This window comes from Homo sapiens, chromosome 1 (genome assembly GCF_000001405.40).
Source record: "Homo sapiens chromosome 1, GRCh38.p14 Primary Assembly".
NCBI classification, from domain to species: Eukaryota; Metazoa; Chordata; class Mammalia; order Primates; family Hominidae; genus Homo; species Homo sapiens.
The window spans coordinates 146797929-146822541 of record NC_000001.11 but is presented as its reverse complement, the minus strand read 5'-3'; the positions used below and the strand labels follow the sequence as shown (position 1 = coordinate 146822541).

General features: G+C 44.5%; 1 pseudogene across 1 annotated transcript in view; it reads right to left on the bottom strand.

The window, feature by feature from the left end:
* Positions 1-507: 507 nt before the first annotated feature.
* Positions 508-24613, bottom strand: part of HYDIN2 (HYDIN axonemal central pair apparatus protein 2 (pseudogene)) — a 335703-nt pseudogene continuing 311597 nt past the window's right edge. Inside the window, exons 49-56 of the transcript NR_103556.2 lie at positions 15903-16111; positions 15502-15684; positions 14622-14741; positions 11180-11339; positions 10900-11072; positions 7986-8184; positions 2953-3052; positions 508-1520 (exon numbers count right to left, since the gene is read on the bottom strand). The product of NR_103556.2 is annotated as an HYDIN axonemal central pair apparatus protein 2 (pseudogene) (transcript). The remainder of the gene's footprint in view (positions 1521-2952; positions 3053-7985; positions 8185-10899; positions 11073-11179; positions 11340-14621; positions 14742-15501; positions 15685-15902; positions 16112-24613) is intronic.

Below are 24613 nucleotides of genomic sequence, written 5' to 3'. Positions count from 1 at the left end.
TGCCGTAGGCTCAAGATGTATCCCACCTAGGCAGAGGTGGGATGCCCGGAGTTGCTGTGGGGCTCTGAATGTCACCGCCATGCTCCAGGAGACCCTGGCTGCCCAATTACCTGCACCCCTGTGCTTCCTTGCTTCCCTGCACATTCTTTCAACAAACCCTCTATCACCTGTTCCAACCTGAGAGTGACTCCATTCCATGCAACCTCAAAGAGCACAGCTAATGCCCCTGTCTTAATCTAAAAGAAAACTCACCAACAGGCAAGATTCCACTTAGCACTAATTCCAAACTGACAGGGGAAAAGTCTCTTTGTCATCTGTGAATTCTTGGGGAAGGAGAACTTTCCATGGAATGAAAAGTGTGGGCACTGCCATGAAGGGCTGTGTGGCCCTGTCTGAGGGGTGTTTCCCTGCCTCCTCCCGTGTGCCACCCTTTCCTTGCTGAGGAGCCTCCCTGATTTTGTGTTACTTTTTCTTTTCTTTTCTTTTCTTTTCTTTTTTTTTTTTTTTGAGACAGGGTCTCGCTCTGTTGCTGAGGCTGGAGTGCAGTGGCACGATCACGGCTCACTGCAGCCTTGACCTCTCTGGGCTCAAGCGATCCTCCCATTCCAGTCTCCCAAGTAGATGGGACTACAAGTGATATGACCACCACGCCTAGCTAACTTTTTTTGTATTTTGTAGAGGCAGGGGGGTCTTGCCACTTTGCTCAGGCTGGTCTCCAACTCCTGGGCTCAAGCAATCTGCCTGCCTTCACCTCCTACAGTGCTGGGATTACAGGCATGAGCCATCACACCCAGCCTCTGTGTTTCATTTTTTATCTCTGGGGATGAGCACAAGCCAGAGCTCTATTCTACCAAGCTACTATTTGGATTGTACAATATCGTGATTCTTAGAATGTAATGAAAAAGGAAAGCCCTTTCTTCACATGAAATCTGCTGAAGAAGGTCTCCTTGTAAAGCAGATAAGAGCTGGCAGAAGGCAGGACAGCTTGAGGCCAGGTCGCCCATCTCCAGTCTCTCCCTCCACCCTGGGACCTCTTCTCACCCCTAGAATCTCCCCCTCCCGGCCTCTTCCCCTAAGTCTCTTCCTCCATTCCCAGACACCTATGGTTCCAACTGGCCAGGTACATCCGGGCCACTTAAAGGGCCCTGTTAAGCTGCAGAGTTGAGAGCAGTGTGAGAATCTCTGCTTCCTTAGCAGGTGGAATTCCATTCTTTTGAAGCCAAGGGAGGCAAAAAAGCAGAGACGGTTCTTATGATTTCCTTGACTGACTGATAAGTTTCCCAGACACGCTATTCCCCACGGTGGACTTGACGGCCGCAAACCCTATGGGATTCAGGTTACCTGAACACGATCTCATATTTCCCCACATTCCTCCACACGGCGGACTTGATGGCCTTACATCTGATGGGATTCCAGTTACCTGAACGCGATCTCATATTTCCCACGGTTCTTCAATTGCAGGGGCTGCTTCGCCTCCTCTGTGACCCTGACAATCCCAAAATCCAGTCCCCCTTCAGCTCCTGCAGAGACCAGGGGCCAGGGCAGAGAGGGGTGAATGGGCATGAGAGTGGGAAGCAGGGGAAGTGCCTGTTGAAATTCACATGGAAAACGCATGGTGACAGTTTAAGAGAATTTGTTTTCTGAAAGTACTGTGGCTAGAAAAGCCTCTTATAATTGAATCTGGGCAAACAAACAACAGATGCTGCTCTTGATGCACTCTACAGGGCTGGTCCCTCTGGATTCCCTCCATCCTAGGATCATTGCCTTTCATGTCTACCATCAGCTAAAACTTTCAGTATTTAAAAAAGTCTTGCATAAAGTTGGGATATTACACATATATTTATGTTGTTTTACTTAGTATTACTTCATAAGCATTTCCCCCAAATAATTAAAAACTCCTCATAAGTGTGTTCTTTGGGGCTGCATAATATCCCACGATATGGTGGTTCCATAATTCATGATATTATTCCTACAATACTATTATTTCATTATTGATGGGCATTTAGGTTTTTCCAACTTTTCATTGTTATAAAAAATGCTGCAATAAAAGATCTTTGTACATGAGACTCATGACATCTAAACACGTGGCTCTAACATTCTATGAGTTTTGCTGAGGAGACCTCTTGGGGAAAGGAGGGAAATGCAGAGCTGTAGGCTAAAGGGAGAGCTGAAACTCGGGTGTTAGGGCAGTGCAGGGACAGATAACAGCCTCAGCCCCACCTCCCAATTCCTGGAATCTGTGAGTATGCTACCTTACATGGCACAGGGGAATTAAAGAAGCAGATGGAATTAATTCACTGACCTACAAATACAGAGATTAATTTGGAATATCTTGGTCAGCTCAATATAATCACAAGGGGGCTTAAGAGCAAAAGAGGAAGGCAGGGTGGGAGAACCAGAGAAAAGGCAACGTGAGATGGAGTTGGCCCAACCTTGCTGTCTTTGAATGTGGAGGAAGGGGACCATGTGGGCGGCCTCTAGGAGTTGGAAACGGTATGGAAATGGATTCTCCCCCAGAGCTTCCAGAAGGGAAGGCAGCCCTGCTGACACCTTGATTTTAGCCCAGTGAGACCCATTTTGCACTTGTGACTTCCAGAACTGTAGGGCAATATGTTTGTGTTGTTTTAAGCCAGAAAGCTTATGGGGACATTTTATGGCAGTGATAGAAAACTAATACAGGAAAGAGGAGAGGTGTTTACTGTAAATGACTGCTCTGAAAAGAGCTCTGCAAATTTTACATCTATGACCACCCGCTTTCTACCTCTGGTTGGAGAAATTACGATTTGTAGTCATGTTGCTAATATCACTCTGGGGCTCACATTATTATTTATTAAAATTGCCCCACCCCCAATCCCTGCAATACTAACAACACACTAGCCTTTCTCTACACAGAAATACACTATACAAAAGACCCAACTTCCAAACATCCTGTCCTTGAAGGGCCCAACAGACCTTTGGGGAAGGTGATGTCCAAGGCGATGTCGTATGCCTCTGCAAAGACCATGATATTTTCAATCTGAACAACACCAAGAAGATTTTCTGCATCTAAAACCTGGCAGGGAAAGGGAAATTCTTCAGTAAAAGCAAGACCTATAGGTGCTTGGAGCCTGAAACATGTAATATCCTAAAGGGGATACGGCAGGGAACGTTTTGAAGTGTATTCCCCTGTAGGTATTTTATCTTCGCCAAGCATTTGGTAGGATTTGTGCTCCTCTTAATACTCTGGGGAATGCTGGTACAAAGAATACAAGAATGGGGAAAAGGGACTGACTTTTTTATTGTTGCTACATTACTGAAGTTTGGGCTTGGGGTAGACATTACAGGAAAGTGGTTTTCTTTTTTGAGGCAGGCTCTCACTCTGTCACCCAGGCTGGAGTGCAGTGGCGCAATCTCGGCTCACTGCAGCCTCGACCTCCTGGGCTCAAGCCATCCTCCCATCTCAGCCTCCCGAGTAGCTGGGACTACAGGAGTGCATCATCATGCTCGGCTAATTTTTGTATTGTTTTTTATAGAGATGGGATTTCACCATGTTGCCTAGGCTGGTCTTGAACTCTTGAACTCAAACAATCCTCCCGTCTCAGCCTCCAAAAGTGTTGGGGTTATAGATGTGAGCCATCATGCCCAACTGTTTTTTTTTTGTTTTTTTTTTAACTTCTAAATCAAATGAACCTAGTGAGCACTGCCCTGACAGTTGAAATGGAAAACCTTTATGCTCCAGGTCATCCTTGCTCTACTCATTTTATAAATTTGAATCGTTCTGTTCTTTGTTTGTGGCTCAGCCTGTGGGGAAAGTGCTAGACTTTTCGTAGAAAGCAAGTGTTTAATGTTTGGAAATACCCAATGTTTTATTTCTGTGAATATCGTGGACCCCTCTGTTGTCATGCCTGGGGATGGTCCCTCCCTCATTGTTCTCTGGCACCTCTAAACTGCTGCAGCTGTCAGCCTGACCTGATTGCTGACTCTTTTTTTCCCTCTTCTTTATATATACATATATTTTATTTTGATAGCTTTTGGGGGTACAAATGGTTAGACTGACAACCCACAGAATGGCAGAAAATATTTGCAAACTATGCATCTGACAAAGGACTAATATCCAGAATATACAAGGAACTCAATCAAATCAACAAAAAAATCCCCAGATAATCCCATCAAAAAGTGGGTAAATGACATGAACCAACTGTTGCCTCTTGAGGCTAACTAGGAGGCGGTAAAGGGTCCATCTGTCCAGGAAAAGAACTGGGGGGCAGTGGGGGAAGCTCTCCTGGGTCTGCTCTGGGGAGTCCACCTCTGTCTTTGCTCCAGTTGAAAGCCCAAGCCACCCACTCCCTATTGCATGTGCTTTGGGTGCCAGGAGGAAATTTGCAGCTGTCACCAAACTCAAGTTTTAATTCAGAATTTCCATCTTCTCTTTCATTAGATGCTTGCCAATGTTTCACAGAGCAAACTGGACCGACTTGAGTTTCGCCTTCTTTCTCTGACTGCTTGCCCTCTGACAGATGACAAGATGGGCTGACAGGATGTGTGTAGTGCCTCCCTCTTGAGGGATGCCAAGTGCCTGGAGCCTTCTATTTCTTGGCTTCCCCAGGGTGGGTCGGAGGCAGTGGGGAGGCTGAATTTTGAATTGAGGAAAATAGGAAGGACAATTGAAGAGTTATACAGATGAAATAAAACAAGTTCACCAAAGGCTTTCAAAAGGGACTGGAGATGAAGGCATTTCCTTCTGTGGATGTGGAAGTGAATATAAGTTCACTTCGCGGGGCTCTACGGAGGTCCACGCTGCTTTGTTCAGAGCCCTAATCAGGCTGCTGTTTGGCTGGGACACATGGAGATGGTCACAACAGTTGTGAAAATACAAAAATGTGGCCGGTTGCAGTGGCTCACGCCTATAATCCCAGCACTTTGGGAGGACAAGGGGGGCAGATCGCTTGAGCTCAGGAGTTTGGGACCTGCCTGGGCAACATGGCAAGACCTCATCTCTACAAAAAATACAAAAATTAGCTGGGTGTGGTGGTGCACGCCTGTGGTCCTAGCTACTCAGGAGGCTGAGGTGGGAGGATTGCTTGAGCCCAGGAGGTGGAAGTTGCAGTGAGCTGAGATTGCACCACTGCACTCCAGCCTGAGCAACAGAGTAAGACCCTGTGTCAAGAAAAATAAAACAAAATAATAATAAAAACAAAAGCCTTTCTGTACCAGTTGGTAAGCAGCTGTCATGATGACCTCTCCAATATCCCCTTGCTGCCTGCCTCCTGTGCATCCCCACCACAGGAACCCCTGGACTCCCCATGATCCAGCAACTAAAGGACGAAGCTGGCACAGCTGTGGGACTCCAGGCCCTACACCAGCCAGGGGTCTGGGTACCTGGTGCAGAGCTCTGTGCCTGTGCAGAGGCTGGTGCTAAAAGCGTTGACCAGAACCTCTGGGCTTCTACACATTCATGGAGTGAATGAATCTATCAATATCTGTTTTCAGCCCTTTCAGTGAAGGGCTGTCATTGATAAGGGATAAGAGAGATTAGATCCACTGAGTGGCCCCAAAAGGTAGAAACATGATTCATGCATGTAATTGACAGGAAGAATTCTGAGCTCAACCCAAAGAAGAATTGACAGACCTGTTTAAAGGCAGAACAGGCTGCTTTAAGCGGTAGTGGTAAATTTTCTGTTCCTGGAAGCATTCAAAGAGAAGCTGGGATGATCCCGTGAATGTCAAAGAATCAGTTCAAGTATTTTTTTTTTTTTTTTTTTGAGACAGAGTCTTGCTCTCTTGCCCAGGCTGGAGTGCAGTGGTGCGAACTTGGCTCATTGCAACCTCCGCCTCCAGGGTTCAAGTGATTCTCCTGCCTCAGCCTCCCGAGTAGCTGGGGTTACAGGCGTGCGCCACCACATCCGGCTAATTTTTGTAATTTGTAATTTTTGTAATTTTGTATTTTTGTATTTTTGTATTTAGAGGCGCAATTTCACCATGTTGGCCAGGGTGGTCTTGAACTCCTGACCTCAAGTGATCTACCCACCTAGGCCTCCCAAAATGATGGGATTACAGGCGTTAGCCACCATGCCCGGCCTAGTTCAAGTACTAAAACTCAATGGCATTCATTCATTCATTAGATTCTGCTGAGTGCCTACTTCATCCAATCCCATGCTAGACACTGGGAATATGATGGTATGGGGGGTTGAACTGTGGTCCCCCAAAAAGTATGTCTACTTCTTAACTCCTGGAGCCTGTGAATATGACCTTATTTGGAAAAAAGGGTATTTGTGGATTTAATTAAGTCAAAGATCTAGAGATGAGATCGTCTTAGATTATCTGAGTGTGCCTTAAATCCAATGATAAATATTCTTATAAGAGACGGAAGAGAAGACACAGACAGAAGAGGTGTTGTGATGATGACAGAGGCAGAGACTGGAGTGATGCAGCCACAAGCTGAGAACACTCGCAGGAGACCCCAGAAGCTGAAGGGGAGAGAGAGGAAGGGTTCTTCCCTGGAGCCTTCAGAGAGAGCATGGCCCTGCCGGCACCTTGATTTTGGACATCTCGCCTCCAGAACGGTGAGAGAGGAATGTCTGTTTTTTAGTCACCCAGTATATGCTAATTTGTTGTAGCAGCCTTGGGGAACTAAGACAGATGTTAAGTCAGGTGAGATCCTGCCCTGATGCAGTTCATATAAGAAAGTAAAGAAAGAAGCAGGATAATGTTAGGAAGAGGTGGTGCTCTGAAGGATGGAAGACGGGGTGGGTTATTGCACATAAGAGGGATTCTCTCAAAGGGATGATTAGAGAAGCCCAGTTGAAACAGCAATGTTGGGGGACCCTAAAGCTGGAGCCTAAGGGCAGATTCCCAGCAGGGTTGCAACAAGGTCAGTGGCTTGAACCAAGAAAGAGCCAAGACAGTGCGTGGGAGCCAATGATTGAGGGCGAGGGTGGAGCAAGTTGCGATGTGGAGGCAGGCATTGTCTCAGAGGCAGGTGAGGACCCCGGGCTTTATTCCTACTGCAGTGGGAAGCCAGGAGAGTGCGTTAGGTGGGGCATAACCTGTCTGAATGACATTGTAAAGATCCCTCTGGACACTGTGGCGAATGCCAACAGGGAAGCCAGTTAGGAAACCTCTGTAGAAGTCCAGGTGAGAGAAGCTGCAGGTGGCCTGGACAAGGTGGTGGCAACAGCGAGGAGAAAGAAGTGGATGGGAAAGATACATCGTGAGGCACCATGCCTGTAATCCCAGCACTTTGGGAGGCCGAGGCAGGAGGATCACTTGAGGTCAGGAGTTTGAGGCCAGCCTGGCCAACATGGTGAAACCCCGTCTCTACTAAAAATACAAAAAGTTAGCTGGGTGTAGTGGCGCGTGCCTGTAGTCCCAGCTACTCTGGAGGCTGAGGCAGAAGAATTGCTTGAACCCTGGAGGTGGAGGTTGCAGTGAGCCGAGATCACACCACTGCACTCCAGCCAGGGTGACAGAGCGAGACTCCATCTCAAAAAAAAAAAAAAAAAGATACATTGGGAGGTAAAATTAGCAACCTTTGTTGGAGGCCTGCGTCGGAAGGGAGGCCATTAAGAAAAGGGGGAATTAAGGCTGATCCCCAGGTGTCTGTTGGGAGCAACAGGGTGGAGGGTGACATTTCCCCAGATAGGAATCCGATAGGTGACTGGGTTTAGGAGTGTGAAATCAGGACTCTGATGCTTACCTAGGTATAGCAACACCATTTGTTCATTTGTTCATTCATTCATTCATTCATTCATTTATTTGTTCCTTCCTTCCACATTGATTGCTCTGTTCCTGGCACTGGGGAATCAGCCATAAGCAATATTGCCTCTATGGAGCTTGCAGTTGTGTGCACAGCAAGAGATTGTGGACTGGGGATATCGAAAGGGGATCAGATAGGAGCATGTAACAGGGAGACCTCTGTGTGTGTGTGTGTGTGTGTGTGTGTGTGTGTGTGTGTGTGTGTGTGTACATGCTTTGATAACCAAGTCTGTGGATGTGTGAAGCCTCACCTCCAACCGAATAGCCTTCTTGATGTTGACAGGCTTGGTGGGCTGAAAGTACAGGTGCAGGCCGTACTCAGCCTCAGGGGGGATGGTCCCCTGCATCAGGGATACAGTGAAATCATCACCCAAGTGCTCCAGGCTGGTGATCCGCCAGGCCACAGGCAGGAGCGTGACATTGCGGAGAAGAACTACCCTGGATTCCTGTCTGCAGAGACAAAAGGAAAGTTGCAATTTCATTTCAAATTTTGTAGTTTCATATGTTTTTTTTTTAACTTTTGTTTTAGGTTCAGGGGTTCATGTGCAGGTTTGTTGTAGAGGTAAACTCATGTCATGGGGGTTTGCTGTACAGATTATTCCATCACCCAGGTCCTAAGCCTAGTACCCAATAGTTATTTTTTCTCCTCTTCTCCCTCCTCCCACCCTCCACCCGCAAGCATCCTCAAGTGTCTGTTGCTCCCCATTTTGTGCCCACTGGTTCTCATCACTTAGCTCCCACTTCCAAGTGAGAACATGGGGTATTTGGTTTTCCGTTCCTGCATTAGTTTGCTAAGGATAATGGCCATAATCCTTAGCATATAGTTTTTTTTTCTTTCTTTTTTTTTTTTTTTTTTGGAGACGGAGTCTTGCTCTGTCATCCAGTCTGGAGTGCAGTGGTGTGATCTCGGCTCACTGCAACCTCTGCCTCCCAGGCTCAAGCAATTCTCCTGCCTCAGCCTCCTGAGTAGCTGGGATTATAGGCACCCGCCACCATGCCTGGCTAATTTTTGTATTTTTAGTACAGACGGGGTTTCACTGTGTTAGCCAGGCTGGTCTGGAACTCCTGACCTCGTGATCTGCCCGTCTCGGCCTCCCAAAGTGCTGGGATTATAGGCGTGAGCCACTGCACCAGGCCAAGCATATGATTTTTAAAAATTGCAGTTTCTCTTTCATGTGTGGGTGCTGAACAACATTTCTTAACCCTTTTTCGAATTGTTTTATTTAGGTCTACCATATTTTTTTTTTTTTTTTTGAGACAGCGTCTGGCTCTGTCGCCCAGGCTGGAGTGCAGTGGCGCGATCTCGGCTCACTGCAAGCTCCGCCTCCTGGGTTCACGCCATTCTCCTGCCTCAGCCTCTCAAGTAGCTGGGACTACAGGAGCCCGCCACCGCTCCCGGCTAATTTTTTGTATTTTTAGTAGAGACGGGGTTTCACTGTGTTAGCCAGGATGGTCTCGATCTCCTGACCTCATGATCCACCCGCCTCGGCCTCCCAAAGTGCTGGGATTACAGGCGTGAGCCACCACGCCCGGCCCATATTTTTACTTTGTGTTTCATTGAAAAAAAAATTCACATATAAGCAGACCCACCCAGTTCAAACCTGCATTGTTCAAAGGTCAACCGTATTTTCCTTTAGCACATTAAAAATGCCATTCTATTGTCTTCCAGCTTCCTTTGTTACTGATGAAGCGTCAGTCATATTGTATTTCATTTTATCCTGGCTGCTTTCAAGATTTTCTCTTAATTTCTGCTTTTAAGTAGTTGGACTAAACTTTGACTTAATGTGTTGACTTAATGTGTTATTTCTTGGTTATTAATCTATTATATAAAATAGGTGGAGTTGATATTATTAACCCCAGATGACCTATAAAAAACCTGAAACATCCAGGCACAGTGGCTCAGCCTGTAATCCCAGCACTTCAGGAGGTTGGGATGGGTGAATTACCGGAGCTCAGGAGTTGAGACCAGCCTGGGCAACATGGCAAAACCCTGTCTCTACTAAAAAAAAAAATACAAAAAGTTAGCTGGGTGTGGTGGCACATGCCCACCCATAATCCCAGCTACTCAGGAGGCTGAGGCAGGAGAATCGCTTGAATCCGGGAGGCAGAGGTTGCAGCAAGCCGAGATCGCACCACTGTACTCCAGCCTGGGCGACAGAGTGAGACTCTGTCTCGAAACAAAAAAAATCCCTGAAGCTTAGAGAGGTTAATTGATGGCCCCGAAGTCACAGATTTAGTGGCAAGACTTGGGCTATAACTATATTTATCCAGCTTAAGGTTTGCTAAGCTTCTTGGAACTATACGTTTTTGCTTTTTCACCAAATTTGGGAAAGTTCCATCTACTCTTTAAATATATATATATATATATATATATATTTTTGTCCCACTCTCTCTCTTTTCCTTCTGGGATTCCAATCACAAATATGTTAGTTATACTGCTTGATGTTGTCCCACTATTTACTGGGGTTCTGCTCATTTTTACCAATATTTTTCTCTCTATGCTTTTTTTTTTTTCGAGACAAGGTTTCACTCTATCACCCAGGCTAGAGTGTAGTGGCATGATCATGACTCACTGGAGGTAAGAAAAAGCACTTTTGGTTACTTCAGTTATTACTTAGTTCTTTAATTAGTATTTATCAGGAAATGGGGCTGGTGGTGGTGATTAAAGAATGCAGGACACGTATCATAACAATATTCTCTCCCAGAAGCCCCAGAAATAAACATTTTTCTATTTAGAATAATAATACCAATTCCAATAATAATTCCAATTAATGAATATGTAAGTTCTAGTTTCGGTCTAATGTTCTGCTTCTACTCTAACTTCTAGAGCAAAGATTCTTAACCTCTTGGGCAATAGACTGCTTTGAGAATCTGAAGAAAGCTGGTCCTTCTGCAGAAACACAGACATACGCATATTTTGGTAGTTGATCTTAGGGGGGTCCTTGGCCCTGCTGAAGTTCATCCACTGAACCCAAGTTAACAATCTGTTAATTAAATAGGTTTACTAACCATCCTGGTTTGCATAGGACCAAGGAGTTTCCCAGGGTGCAGAACTTTCAGTGCTAAAACCAGGAGAGTCTGGAGTAAATCAGGATGAGTTGGTTACCCTAGAACTAAACGCTCTTTAAATTCCCTTCCAGTCCTGACATGATCTAGAACTCTGACCTGTGCAGCAAGAGCCGGTCAAAATGTAATTGCCTGGGTTCCAGCTCTAGTTCCGGGCGGATCCCCTGGCAGCTTAATTGGAAGATGGCTGGCTCTGGGTTGTCATTGATGCAGCAGACAATGCTGTCTTCAAAGACACCAACTGAAGTAGGGTAGGCCCATACGTTTAATATCTGATGGAAGGAAAAGTCAAAAGAAAGTACATTTACACCAAGGATGCCAAGGCCTCAAATTTCCCAAGAAAGCCTTGCCCTGGTGACTTGTGTCCACATGACCGTACCTGCTTCTCATTGGGTTTCAGGACCATGGTGTTGGGTTCCAGGAAGTACGTGTTTGCTTTGACATCATTCTGAAAATAGAAGGATGCCTCCACCACCATTAAGGAAGTGTTCAGGATTGTTAGCGTCTCCATGTTGCCTGGGAATAAGGATGACTTGTACCTGGGGATGAACAAGAATGGGGTTAAGGGTATGAAGACTGAATGAGAATGCAGGTGGAAAAGAAGGCTGTGATGAGAAAGGCAATTCAGAGGGACAGTGTGGCTGCATGGAGGCAGTGGCATGGTGGCTAAGAACATGAGATCTGTAGTTGTGCAGACTTGCCTTGGAGAATAAATGCTACACTGTGACTTGACTCCCTCAAGCCTTGGTCTCCTTATCTCTAAAATGAGGTGATAATACCACTTAGGACTGCTGAGTAGGAAGTGAGATCACACATCTAAAGCTCTCAGGACAGCTGTGGATAGCAAATGCCCAGTGAATGTTAGCTATGATTATTGCAAAGAATCCTGAGAAATATGTAGATCTATCCTTACACCTGCTTATATCCCTGAGAGAGATTATCACTTGAGTAACTTTTTTTTTTTTTTTTGTGAGGGAGTTTCGTTCTTGTTGCCCAAGTTGGAGTGCAGTGGCGCAATCTCAGCTCACTGCAACCTCCACCTCCTGGGTTCAAGCAATTCTCCTGCTTCAGCCTCCCAAGTAGCTGGGATTACAGGTGCATGCCACCACACCTGGCTAATTTTTTGTATTTTTAGTAGAAACGGGGTTTCACCATGTTAGCCAGGCTGGTCTCGAACTGCTGACCTCAGATGATCCGCCTGCCTGGGCCTCCCAAAGTGCTGGGATTACAGGCATGAGCCACCGTGCCCGGCCTCACTTGAGTAATTTTTTATTTCACATCTGTTTTAGAGATGACCTCATTCACCTCCTTCTCCCAAACCCTCAGAGAATGTTACTGTTCTGACATGAATTCATTTGGCCTTGTTCACTGTTAGGAGGCAGTTTCTGTTCCTTAGTACCTTAAGGAGAGATCTGCAGAGTTGAGCACTGTGGGCACTGAGGGAGACTCAGTTAATAGTAACAGAGCGAAGCAAACCAGAAGGCCCAAGGGAAAAAGAGGCACATCATCAGAGGTCATGGCACAGGCTAGGAAAGCAGAAACACTCTGAAAAAGGTTTTAGATAGGCCATGATGGAGGATGAAAGGAGAGAGAATGACAGAGACCAAATGAGAGTCAGAGAAACAGAGAACACTCCGTATGAATATCTGCCAAAGGGGTGCCGCCTTCTCACTTAACCGCTAATCACTTCCATCCGGCACTGTGCTAAAGGCTCCAGGTGCGTTACCCAGTTCAGTCCTCACGAATTTGTTGCTTTCCCATTTTGCAGATGAGGACACTGAGGCTCAGCACGGTTTAAAATAATAAGTGAACAGGCTTGGCACAGTGGCTCACGCCTGTAATCCAACACTTTGAGAGGCTGAGGTGGGCAGATTGCTTGAGCTCGGAGTTCGAGACCAGCCTGGGCAACATGGTGAAACCCCATCTCTACAAAAATTAGCCAGGTGTGGTTGCACACACCTGTAGTCCCAGCTACTGGGGAGGCAGAGGTGGGAGGATTGCTTGAGCCTGGGAGCTCAAGGCTGCAGTGAGCTGAGATTGCACCACTGCATTCCAGCCTGGGTGACGGAGTAAGACCCTATCTTAAAAAAAAAAAAAAAAAAAAGACAAGAAAAGAAAAGAATGAGTGAATAATACCCAGTTGTACTGGAACTTATTTTGGATTACCGTAGTCACTGTCCTTCCCACATCAGTGTCATCTCGCCCAACATCCTGGTTAATTCCAATGCTGCCCCAAACATGTGCCTCTTTGAACAACCATCATTTCCCTGACTCCCACTCCCAGACTGTTCTGTACCTCATGTCCATCAACCTGACCATACTTTTCCCTCCTAAGCCCTCCTGTCCGGCTTTGAAGATCTTCTCCATCATCAGCAAATTCCCTTCATCTTCAATTTTTAATCCAGCATCTCAGGGAATAAAGTGGAGGTGATAAGGGAATGGAGGACAAAGATGGCCCATAAGCTGCACCGAGAAAGCCCAGAAATTAACACCCTCTACTTAGCACAAGAAACATTGTATTGAATGAAGACATGGTGGAGACCTTGGTTCCAGTTTTGGTTTCACTCCCTGCCTATATGATAAGAAATTTGTATATAACTGAAAAAAACTAGTATCGCTAAGAATGGCTGATCATCAGTCTCACCTGTGGGTCCCCAATTCTGCCTAAAAATCTCAGTCTGTTTCTCTAACATGCTCCCTCTCCTACTTTCCACAAAAACTGTTTTTCATACCCCCTCTATTTCCTCAAGATTTTAAACTTTCGCCACTCCCCTCACTTGCAAGGGATGACCACACATCATTTGTCAAGGAGAAAAAGACATGATTGCGTAGGAGTCTCCTCACCCTTCCAATCAAATTGTAAACCTACCTTCTGCAATGCCATCTCGCCTTTCTCCCCGTTGGCATGCAGTGACAGTCCCTCTTCCTGGCACAAGCCAGCCTCCCCACATCCCACTGTGTTGTCTCAAGGAGCTATGCCATTGATGGCCCTTCCCATCTCCTGAAATTCCAACCTCTTCCTTCCATTTCCTCTCGGCATGCAAGCCTCATAAGAATAACAGCGCACGAACAGCCTGCCCTGCGCTCCAGGCTTTCCTCCCATCTCCCTTCAGAGCCAAGCTTCTCCAAAGAGTTATCTTCTTCACATCTGACTTCTCACTTCACTTTGCTTGGGCACAGAACTCTTGCTAAGGCCCCTAGTGACCTCCATGTTGTTGAACCCTGTGGACATCTATGCCCTCATCCTTCTGCCCTCTCCTCAGTATTCAATGTAGCAACCATGTCCTCTCTTCATGGCTCCATAACACTGGTCTTTTTGGTTTCCCCAATAGCGCTAGCTCTCTTTCTCATCTCCTTGCTCCTCCTTTTGTGCATATTGGAGTTATTCAGGGCTTCTTTTCTTCTTACCTGTACAGCCCTCTCTCAGGCAATCTCATCTACGTCTGTGGCTTTTGTTGCCTTGAAGAGTGATCTCTCCTTTGAGAACCAAAGCTGTATAACCTATTCTCTGCTTCATGTAACTACAGAAATATCTTCCCAGCCTCTTAAACTGAACATAAGCTAAAGCAAACTCTTGATCCTACCCTGATCAAGCCTGAAACCTCTCCTAGGCCTTCCCATATGGGAACATGGCACCCTTATTCCTCTGGGTGTCCAGCAGGGAGTTGGGACACAAGAACCCAGTTCTCCTGATTTGTGGTTGGGGCTAAGAGAGGCAGCATTAGTAAAAGCTACATCTATGTACACAGGAATCCTACTTGCACTGTTCATGAGCCCAACCCAGCAGTCTGAAATCTGCTTTAAAATAATGGAACACTTACTTATCTCTTGATTTTCCACAAAGTAGTGGCCCAAAGTAGTACGTCTCCGTGCTCATAACATACTTCTTAAAGATGACCTCATTTGTCTTCATGTCCATCTTCCGCTGAGGAAATACCACTCTGAACACAGGAGGGGAAAAGGTGAGGAGAGGCTGCCTGAACAGAAGTTTGATGCTGCCACGTGATGTTTACATAAACCCAATATTCCCTGCTCAACACGGGATCCGGGCATCTGGAGACAGAGTGACTCTTCTTTGTCCCAGCTCCTTCCCACCACCAGAGAAGACAGTATGAAATGAACTTGAAAAAAAAAGACTCCCAGTGGTGTCTTCTATAATGAGGAGCGGTGACAGAGCTGAGTCAGATATTCTGTCCCAGTGCACCCAGCTGAAAACATTCCTGAGAATCCCTATGGAAAATTGGTTCTGGGAGATATGAATTAGCTTCTGAGTCCCTTGGTCTAATATGGCCAGTTGCTCAGCCAGGTGCTTTTCTGTAGTGTAGGAGCTCTACAGTGGTGTTCAGTAGCTTGGAAAAATTTCACCCATGCAGAGTCACACATGGTTTCTATACTACAGGATAGAACTGCTTTAAATTTGCTTAATAGTTAAATAAGCAAACTAATTTGCCAAAGGAAGACTTTTTTCCTCCCCCTTTGCACCTATGATCATTCTCTTTATTGCAGTCTGGGAATCCTGGTAGTATCATGTCCTCCCTGTGGCTCTTGGTCAATATTCAAGACATGGAAGCTGATACGACAAGAGGGGCTGGGGTGCTGCCCCAGCTCCACGTTATGGTAAGAGCCACCTTGTTCAAAGTGCCATGGAGTAAAATGAAAACACATCTGTCAACCTTTTCTTTTAAAATGAAACACACTTACTTTGGGTCTTGGCAAATGTATGGGTAAGTGCAGATGCCTCGGCAGTAGAGCTGGTACTGGCAGCAAGTTCCTAGGATCTCAAAGTTAAAGGTTTGGTCAAAGTTCCCGAACTCATCAGAAGAGAAGTGCACCTGCAACGTTACCTCGCCATTGGCTGGCACGATCCACCGGAAGTGATTCAGTCTGCAAATGACCACACAGGTTTATAAAGTGAGAGTGCTCCCCTCTGGCCAAGAGAAGACAGGAGAGCTGCCTGGAAGTCCTGTCCTGTTGGGGTAGGCATGGTGGCCCCTGGAGCCCCACAGGCAGGACAGCTCTGTTCCCCTCCAGTGCTGTGACAGTCACACCCTCAGTGTGGGCTTTGGCCCAGATTCCCCTCCCTGGGTTGCTGGAAGGCCCACCTGGTGAATTTCTCCTGGGAGTGCTGCCCGTTGAAGTTGTCCAGGTCTGTATCTGACAGCTGGGAAATGGTTCCAGCAGGTTCCCCAGAAAGGACCTTCCTGTTTAAGGCCATGTGACGCTTGTCTTTCTGACTCTCGAAGACTTGGTCTATCTTTTCTTTCATTTTCTGTTTGCCCCCCTTAGATGAGCTGGTCTGCTCCTCTTGAGCCTTAATTAAAAACGAGCATGAGGTCTTAAATATTCACTTTTTGTACACACACACAGAAGACAGAGATGGCCACATGTCTGTCATCTGGGGAGATGGTGCTGCAGGGTCAGGAAGGCTAGAGCAGGGCAGGGTCTAGTCTTGGGTAGTGACAAGACCAGTGCATTCCTTGGCACCCTAGTCCCTCAGAAGGAGGATGAAACCCTAGAGAAAGCTGGAAGCTGGAGGGTGTGCGTGGAACTCAAGTCTTAGCTCCTGGCAGAACCCACAATGGACAGCGGGGATTGTAGCCTTCTTGGTACCACTAAGCCAGTTATCCCCATCTGCTTGCTGTCTACTTCCTAATATTTTGTTGGCATATACCCCTCACCACCAGCTCTCTCTCCTTCTCTTTATTCTTAGAATTATACGCGAAAAGAAAATCTTACTGTTTTGGGAGAGGTAGAGATAAACATGTGTTTAATCTGCTGTGTTTAATAAGAAGTTCCCATTTTTCTAGTGGTATTTTCATGTTTCCTGATCAAAAAAAATTTTTTGCCTTTAATTTATTTATCATTTCCACCATCTTTTAAAAAAGAAAACTTTAAGAGTTGAAGGCCTGGTACAGTAATAACTAGTTTTAACAGTTGCCACTTTTTCTCCTGAGCCATTTGAAGATACCTTGCAGACATGATGACTCCTTGCCTCTAAATACACCTCCTCAAGAAAGGACTTTCTCCTGCAATCCTGCACAATACTGTCATCACACCTAAGAAAATGAACAATAATTCCACACTATCGTTCTGGCACACAGTCTATATTAAAATTTTCCTATTTGTCTCAGGCATGTCTTTTTTTTTTTTTTTTTTTTTTTTTTTTGAGATAGCGTCTCGCTTTGTCGCCCAGGCTGCAGTGCAGTGGTGCCATCTCAGCTCACTGCAAGCTCCGCCTCCTGGGTTCACGCCATTTTCCTGCCTCAGCCTCCGAAGTAGCTGGGACTACAGGCGCCTGCCACCACGCCTGACTAATTTTGTGTATTTTTAGTAGAGACGGGGTTTCACCATGTTAGCCAGGATGGTCTCGATCTGACCTCGCGATCCACCTGCCTCAGCCTCCCAAAGTGCTGGGATTACAGGCGTGAGCCACCGCGCCTGGCCTCAGGCATGTCTTTATTTATAGACATTGTTTCCCAAATAAGTATTAATCAAAGTTCCTATATTGTGTTTTGTTATGTTTCTTTTTTAATTTTTTATTATTTTTCTATTTTTTATAGGTTATTGGGGTACAGGTGGTATTTGGTTACATGAGTAAGTTTTCTGGTGGCGATTTGTGAGATTTTGGTGCACCCATCACCCGAGCAGTATACACTGCACCCTATTTGTAGTCTTTTATCTCTTGCCCTCTCCCACCCTTCCCCCCAAGTCCCAAAGTCCATTGTATCATTCTTATGCCTTTGTGTCCCCATAGCTTGGCTACCACATATCAGTGAGAACATACGATGTTTCCCATTCCTGAGTTACTTCACTTAGAATAATAGTCTCCGATATCATTCAGGTAGCTGTGAATGCCGTTAATTCATTCCTTCTTATGGCTGAGTAGTATTCCTTTGTGTATACATATACCACAGTTTCTTTATCCACTTGTTGACTGATGGGCATTTGGGATGGTACCACCATTTTGCAATTGTGAATTGTGCTGCTATAAACATGTGTGTGCAAGTATCTTTTTCGTATAATGACTTCTTTTCCTCTGGGTAGATATGCAGTATCTAGATCCAGATCTGCTGGATCAAATTGCAGTTCTACTTTTAGTTCTTTAAGGAATGTCCACATTGTTTTCCATAGTGGTTGTACTAGTTTACATTCCCATCAGCAGTGTAGAAGGGTGTTTCTTGATGCACCGCATCCATGCCAACAGCTACTGTTTTTATTTATTTATTTATTTTTTATTTTTTGATTATGGTCATTCTTGCAGGAGTAAGGTGGTATCACATTGTGGTTTTGATTTGCATTTCCCTGATCATTAGTGATGTTGAGCATTTTTTCATATGCTTGTTGGCCATTTGTATATCTTCTTTTGTGAATTGTCTATTCATGTCTTTAGCCCACTTTTTGATGGGATTATTTGTTTTTTTCTTGCTGATTTGTTTCAGTTCATTGTAGATTCTGGATATTAGTCCTTTGTCAGATGTACAGATTGTGAAGATTTTCTCCCACTCTGTAGGTTGTCTGTTTACTCTGCTGACTGCTACCTTTGCCATGCAAAAGCTCTTTAGTTTAATTAAGTTCCAGCTAATTATCTTTGTTTTAATTGCATTTGCTTTTGGGTTCTTGGTGATAAAATCCTTGCCTAAGCCAATGTCTAGAAGGGTTTTTCCAATGTTATCTTCTAGAATTTTTATAGTTTCAGGTCTTAGATTTAAGTCCTTAATCCATCTTGAGTTGATTTTTGTATAAGGTGAGAGATGAGGATCCAGTTTCATTCTCCTACATGTGGCTAGCCAATTATCCCAGCACCATTTGTTGAAAAGGATGTCCTTTCCCCACTTTATGTTTTTGTTTGCTTTGTCGAAGACCAGTTGGCTGTAAGTATTTGGGTTTCTTTCTGGGTTCTCTATTCTGTTCCATTGGTCTATATGCCTATTTTTATATCAGTAACATGCTGTTTTGGTGACTATGGCCTTATAGTATAGTTTGAAATCAGGTAGTGTGATGCCTCCAGATTTGTTCTTTTTGCTTAGTCTTGCTTTGGCTATGTGGGCTCTTTTTTGGTTCCATATGAATTTTATAATTTTTTCCTAATTCTGTGAAGAATGATGGTGGTATTTTGATGGAAATTGCGTTGAATTTGTAGATTGCTTTTGGCAGTAAGGTCATTTTCACAATATTGATTCTACCCATCCATGAGCATGAGATGTTTCCATTTGTTTGTGTCATCTATGATTTCTTTCAGCAGTGTTTTGTAGTTTTCCTTGCAGAGGTCTTTCACCTCCTTGGTTAGGTATATTCCTAAGTATTTTATTTGTTTTTTTGCAGCTATTGTAAAAGAGGTTGAGTTATTGATTTGATTCTCTGCTTGGTCATTGTTGGTGTATAGAAGAGCTACTGATTTGTGTACATTAATTTTGTATCCAGAAACTGCTGAATTCTTTTGTCAGTTCTAGGATCTTTCTAGGGAGTCTTCAGGGTTTTCAAAGTAAATGACCATGTCATCAGCAAACAGTGAGAGTCTGACTTCCTCTTTGCTGATTTGGATACCCTTTATTGCTCTCTCTTGTCTGATTGTTATGGCGAGGATTTCCAGTACAATGTTGAAGAGGAGTGATGAGAGTGGGCATCCTTGTCTTGTTCCAGTCCTTGGAGGGAACACTTTCAACTTTTCCTCATTCAGTATTATGTTGGCTTTGGGTTTGTCACAGATGGCTTTTTTTACATTGAGGTGTGTTCCTTGTATGCTGATTTTGCTGAGAGTTTTAATCATAAAGGGATGTTGGATTTTGTCAAAGGCTTTTTCTGCATCTATTGAAATGATCATGTGATTTTTGTTTTTAATTCTGTTAATGTGGTATATCACATTTATTGACTTGCATATGTTAAACCATCCCTGAATCCCTGGTATGAAACCCACTTGATCATTGTGGATTAACTTTTTGATATGCTGTTGGATTTGATTAGCTAAATGTTAAGGATTTTGGTTAGCTAAATGTTAAGGATTTTAGCATCTATGTTCATCAGGCATATCGGCCTGCAGTTTTCTTTTTTTGGTTGTGTCCCTTCCTGGTTTTGGAATTAGGGTGATGCTGGCTTCGTAGAATGAATTAGGGAGGGTTCCCTCTTTCTCTATCTTGTGGAATAGTGTCAATAGGATGGGTATCCATTCTTCTTTGAATGTCTGGTAGAATTCTGCTGTGAATCCATCTGGTCCTGGACTTTTTTTTGGTGGTAATTTTTAAATTACCATTTCAATCTCACTGCTTGTTACTGGTCAGTTCAGGGTATCTAGTTCTTCCTGATTTAAGCTAGGAGGGTTGTATTTTTCCAGGAGTTTATCCATCTCTTCCAGGTTTCCTAGTTTGTGAGTGTAAAGGTGTTCATAGTAGCCTTGAATGATCTTTTGTATTTCTGTGGTGTCAGTTGTAATATCTCCTGTTTGTTTCTTATTGAGGTTATTTGGATTTTTCTCTCTTCTTTTCTTGGTTAATCTTGCTAACGGTCTATCAATTTTATTTATCTTTTCAAAGAACCAGCTTTTTGTTTCATTTATCTTTCGTATTGCTTTTTTTTTTGTTTCAATTTCATTTAGTTCTGCTCTGACCTTGGTTATTTCCTTTCTTCTGCTGGGTTTGGGTTTGATTTGTTCTTGTTTCTCTAGTTCCTTGAGGTGTGACCTTAGATTGGCAGTTAGTGCTCTTTCAGTCTTTTTGATGCGGGCATTTGGGGCTATGAGCTTTCTGCTTAGCATCACCTTTGCTGTATCCCAGAGATTTTGATAGCTTGTGTCATTCAGTTCCATGAAGTTTTAAATTTCCATCTTGATTTTGTTTTTGACCCACTGATCATTCGGGAGCAGGTTATTTAATTTTCATGTATTTGCATGGCTTTGAAGGTTCCTTCTGGAGTTGATTTCCAGTTTTATTCCACTGTGGTCTGAGAGAGTGCTTGATATAATTTCAATTTTCTTAAATTTATTGAGGCTCATTTTGCGGCCTATCATATGGTCTATCTTGGAGAAAGTTCCATGAACTGTTGAGTAGCATGTGTATTCTGTGGCTGTTGGATGGAATGTTCTGTATGTATCTGTTAAGTCCATTTGTTCCAAGTTATAGTTTAAATTCATGTTTCTTTGTTGACTTTCTGTCTTGATGGCCTGTCTTGTGCTGTCAGTGGAGTACTGAAGTCCCCCACTATTATTGTGTTGCTGTCTATCTCATTTCTTAGGTCTATTAGTAATTGTTTTACAAATTTGGGAGCTCCAGTGTTAGGTGCATCTGTGTTTAGGACTGTGGTATTTTCTGGTTGGACAGGGCTTTTACCATTATATAATGTCCCTCTTTGTCTTTTTAAACTGCTGTTGCTTTAAAGCTCATTTTGTCTGATATAAGAATAGCTGTCCCTGCTCTCTTTTGGTGTCCATTTGCATGAAAGCCTTTTTCCACCCTTTTACTTTATGTGAGTCCTTATATGTTAGGTGAGTCTCTTGAAGGCAGCAGATAGTTGGTTGGTGAATTCTTATCCATTCTGCAGTTCTGTATCTTTTAAGTAAAGCATTCAGGCATTTACATTCAATGTTAGTATTGAGATGTGAGGTACCATTCCATTAATTGTGCTATTTGTTGCCTGTGTACCTTGGTTTTTTGCTTTTTTGTTTTTTTTTAATTGTATTTTTGTTTTATAGGTCCTGTGAGGTTTATGCTTTAAAGAAGCTCTGTTTTGATGTGTTTCCAGGATTTGTTTCAAGATTTAGAGCTCCTTTTAGCAGTTCTTATAATACTGGCTTGGTAGTGGCAAATTCTCTCAGCATTTGTTTGTCCAAAAAAGACTGTATCTTTCCTTCATATACGATGCTTAGTTTTGCTGGATACAAAATTCTTGGCTGATACTTCTTTTGTTTGAGGAGTCTGAAGATAGGGCCCCAATCCCTTCTATCTTGTAGGGTTTCTGCTGAGAAATCTGCTGTTAATCTGATAGGTTTTCCTTTGTTGATTATGTTGTTTTTGTCTCACAGCTCTTAAGATTCTTTCCTTCGTCTTAACTTTAAATAAGCTGATGACAATGTGCCTAGGTGATGATCTTTCTGTGATGAATTTTCCAGGTGTTCTTTGTGCTTCTTGTATTTGGATGTCTAGGTCTCTAGCAAGGCTGGGGAAGTTTTCCTCGATTATTCCCCCAGATATGTTTTCCAAACTTTTAGATTTCTCTTCTTCCTCAGGAACACTGATTATTCTTAGGTTTGGTCATTTAACATAATCCCAGACTTCTTGGAGGCTTTGTTCATATTTTCTTATTCTTTCTTCTTTGTCTTTGTTGGATTGGGTTAATTAGAAGATCTTGTCTTTGAGCTCTGAATTTCTTTCTTCTACTTGTTCAATTCTATTGTTGAGACTTTCCAGAGCATTTTGCATTTCTCTAAGTGTGTTCAATATTTCCTGAAGTTTTGATTGTTTTTTATTTATGCTGTGTATTTCATTGAATATTTCTCCCTTCACTTCTTCTATCATTTTTTGGATTTTCTGGAACTGGGCTTCACCTTTCTCTGGTTACTCTCTGATTGGCTTAATAACTAACCTCCTGAATTCTTTTTCAGGTAAATCAGGGATTTCTTCTTGGTTTGAATCCATTGCTAGTGAGCTACTGTGATTTTGGGGGGCTACTAAAGGGTCTTGTTTTGTCATATTATCAGAGTTGGTTTTCTGGTTCCTTCTTATTTGGGTAGGCTCTGTCAGAGGGAAAGTCTATGGCTGAAGGCTGTTGTTCAGATTCTTTTGTCCCACAGGGTGTTCCCTTGATGTAGTATGCTCCCCCTTTTCCTATGGATGTGGCTTCCTGAGAGCCGAGCTGTGCTGATGGTTATCTCTCTTCTGGGTCTAGCCACCCAGCAAGTCTACCAGGCTCTGGGCTTGTACGGGGGTTGTCTGCACAGAGTCCTGTGATGTGAAACATCTATGGGTCTCTCAGTCATGGACACCAGCACCTCTTCTGGCGGAGGTGGCAGGGGGGTGAAATGAACTCTGTGAGGATTCTTAGCTTTGGTGGTTTAATGCTCTATTTCTGTGCTGGTTGGCTTCCTGATGGGAGGGGGCACTTTCCAGAGACCATCAGCTGTGGTAATATGGAGAGGAAGGAACCAGTGGTGGGTAGTGCCCTAGAACTCCCAAGAATATATGCCCTTTGTGTTCAGGTACCAGGGTGGGTAGGGAAGGACCATCAGTTGGGGACAGGGCTAGGCATGTCTGAGCTCAGACTCTCTTTGGGCTGGTCTTGCTGTGGCTGCTGTGGAGGATGGGGGTGAGGTTCCTAGGTCAATGGAGTTATGTACCTAGGAGGATTATGCCTCCCTCTGCTGAGTCGTGCAGGTTGTCAGGGAAGTGGGCAAAAGCCAGCAGTTACAGGCCTCACGCAGCTCCCATGCAATCCAAAGGGCTGGTCTTACTCCCACCATGCCCCCACCAACAGCATTGAGTCTGTTTCCAGGCAGTGGGCAAGCAGGGCTGAGAACTTGCCCCAGGCTACCCACCACCCAGCTGTGAAAGCAAGTATGGCTTTAGTTCTTCCCCTGCCTGTGGAGTCTGCATGCTGGATTTGTGCCCTTCCCAGAGTCCTGGCCAGGAGGCTTCTCGTCCAGTTCAAATTGTTACAAAGTTCAGCTGGAGACTTCCTTCTCCCTGTGGCATTTTCCCTGGGCCTCTGGCTGTCCTCCTGAAAGATCCCTGTGATGCCAGACAGGAATGGCCTGCTTGGGGACCTAGGGAGCTCCCAGGGCCTTTCCTGCTGCTTCCTCTAACCCTGTATTTTGCTCAACTCTCTAAATTGACTCAGCTCCAGGTAAGGTTGGAATCTTCTCCTTTAAACTAGACCTTCAGTTTCCCCAGTTGGGGTGTGTATCCAGGGGCGGAGGATCTTCCTTTCCCACTTCTGCAGTTTGGGCACTCACAGTATTTGGGGTGTCTCCTGGGTCCTGCAGGAGCAGTCTGCTGCTTGCTTCAGAGGGTCTGTGGTTCCCTTCAGGTTTCTTGATTTATTCCTGCAGTTGTTCTGGAGCTAAAATTCACAATGCGAGACTTGCTGCTCTGTCCACCCGAGTTGGAGTTGCATCCAGTCCTGCCTCCTGTCTGCCATGATCTCTTATGTTTCTTTAGTATCTTTCAATCTAGACCCTCCTGCCCCCTCTCCCAATCACACTGCCTTTTTAGAGAGACCAGATTTGTGTTCTTACAAAATACTCCATAGTCTGAATTCTTCTGAGCATTCTTACGTGCCATTTCTTTTTCTTTTCTTTTTCTCTTTCTCTCTTTTTCCTTCCTTCCTTCCTTGCTTCCTTCCTCTGTTTTTCTTTCTTTCTTTCCCCTCTCTCTCTTCTATTCCTTCCGTCTTTCTTTTCTTTTTCTTTTGAGACAGGATCTCACTCTATTGCCCAGGCTGGAGTGCAGTGGTGCCATCTCAACTCACTATAACTCTGACTCCAGGGCTCAAGCGATCCTCCCACCTCAGCCTCCTGAGTAGCTGGGACTACAGGTGCATGCCACCATGCCCGGCTAATTTTTGTATTTTTTGTAGAGATGGGGTTTCACCATATTCCCAGGGTGGTCTCAAACATCTGGGCTCAAGCAATCTGCCCACCTCAACCTCCCAAAGTGTGGGGATTACAGGCGTGAGCCACAGTGCCCAGCCGGCTGATTTTCACAATAAGGGGTTGATGGCAAGTTTTTCTTCTTTATCTTTTCAATTTGAAATGTCACCAGGGACTCTCTGCTTGGGTGAGGCATGCCCACCGACGCTACTGATCTCAGATGTTGATTTCCTTCTTCCT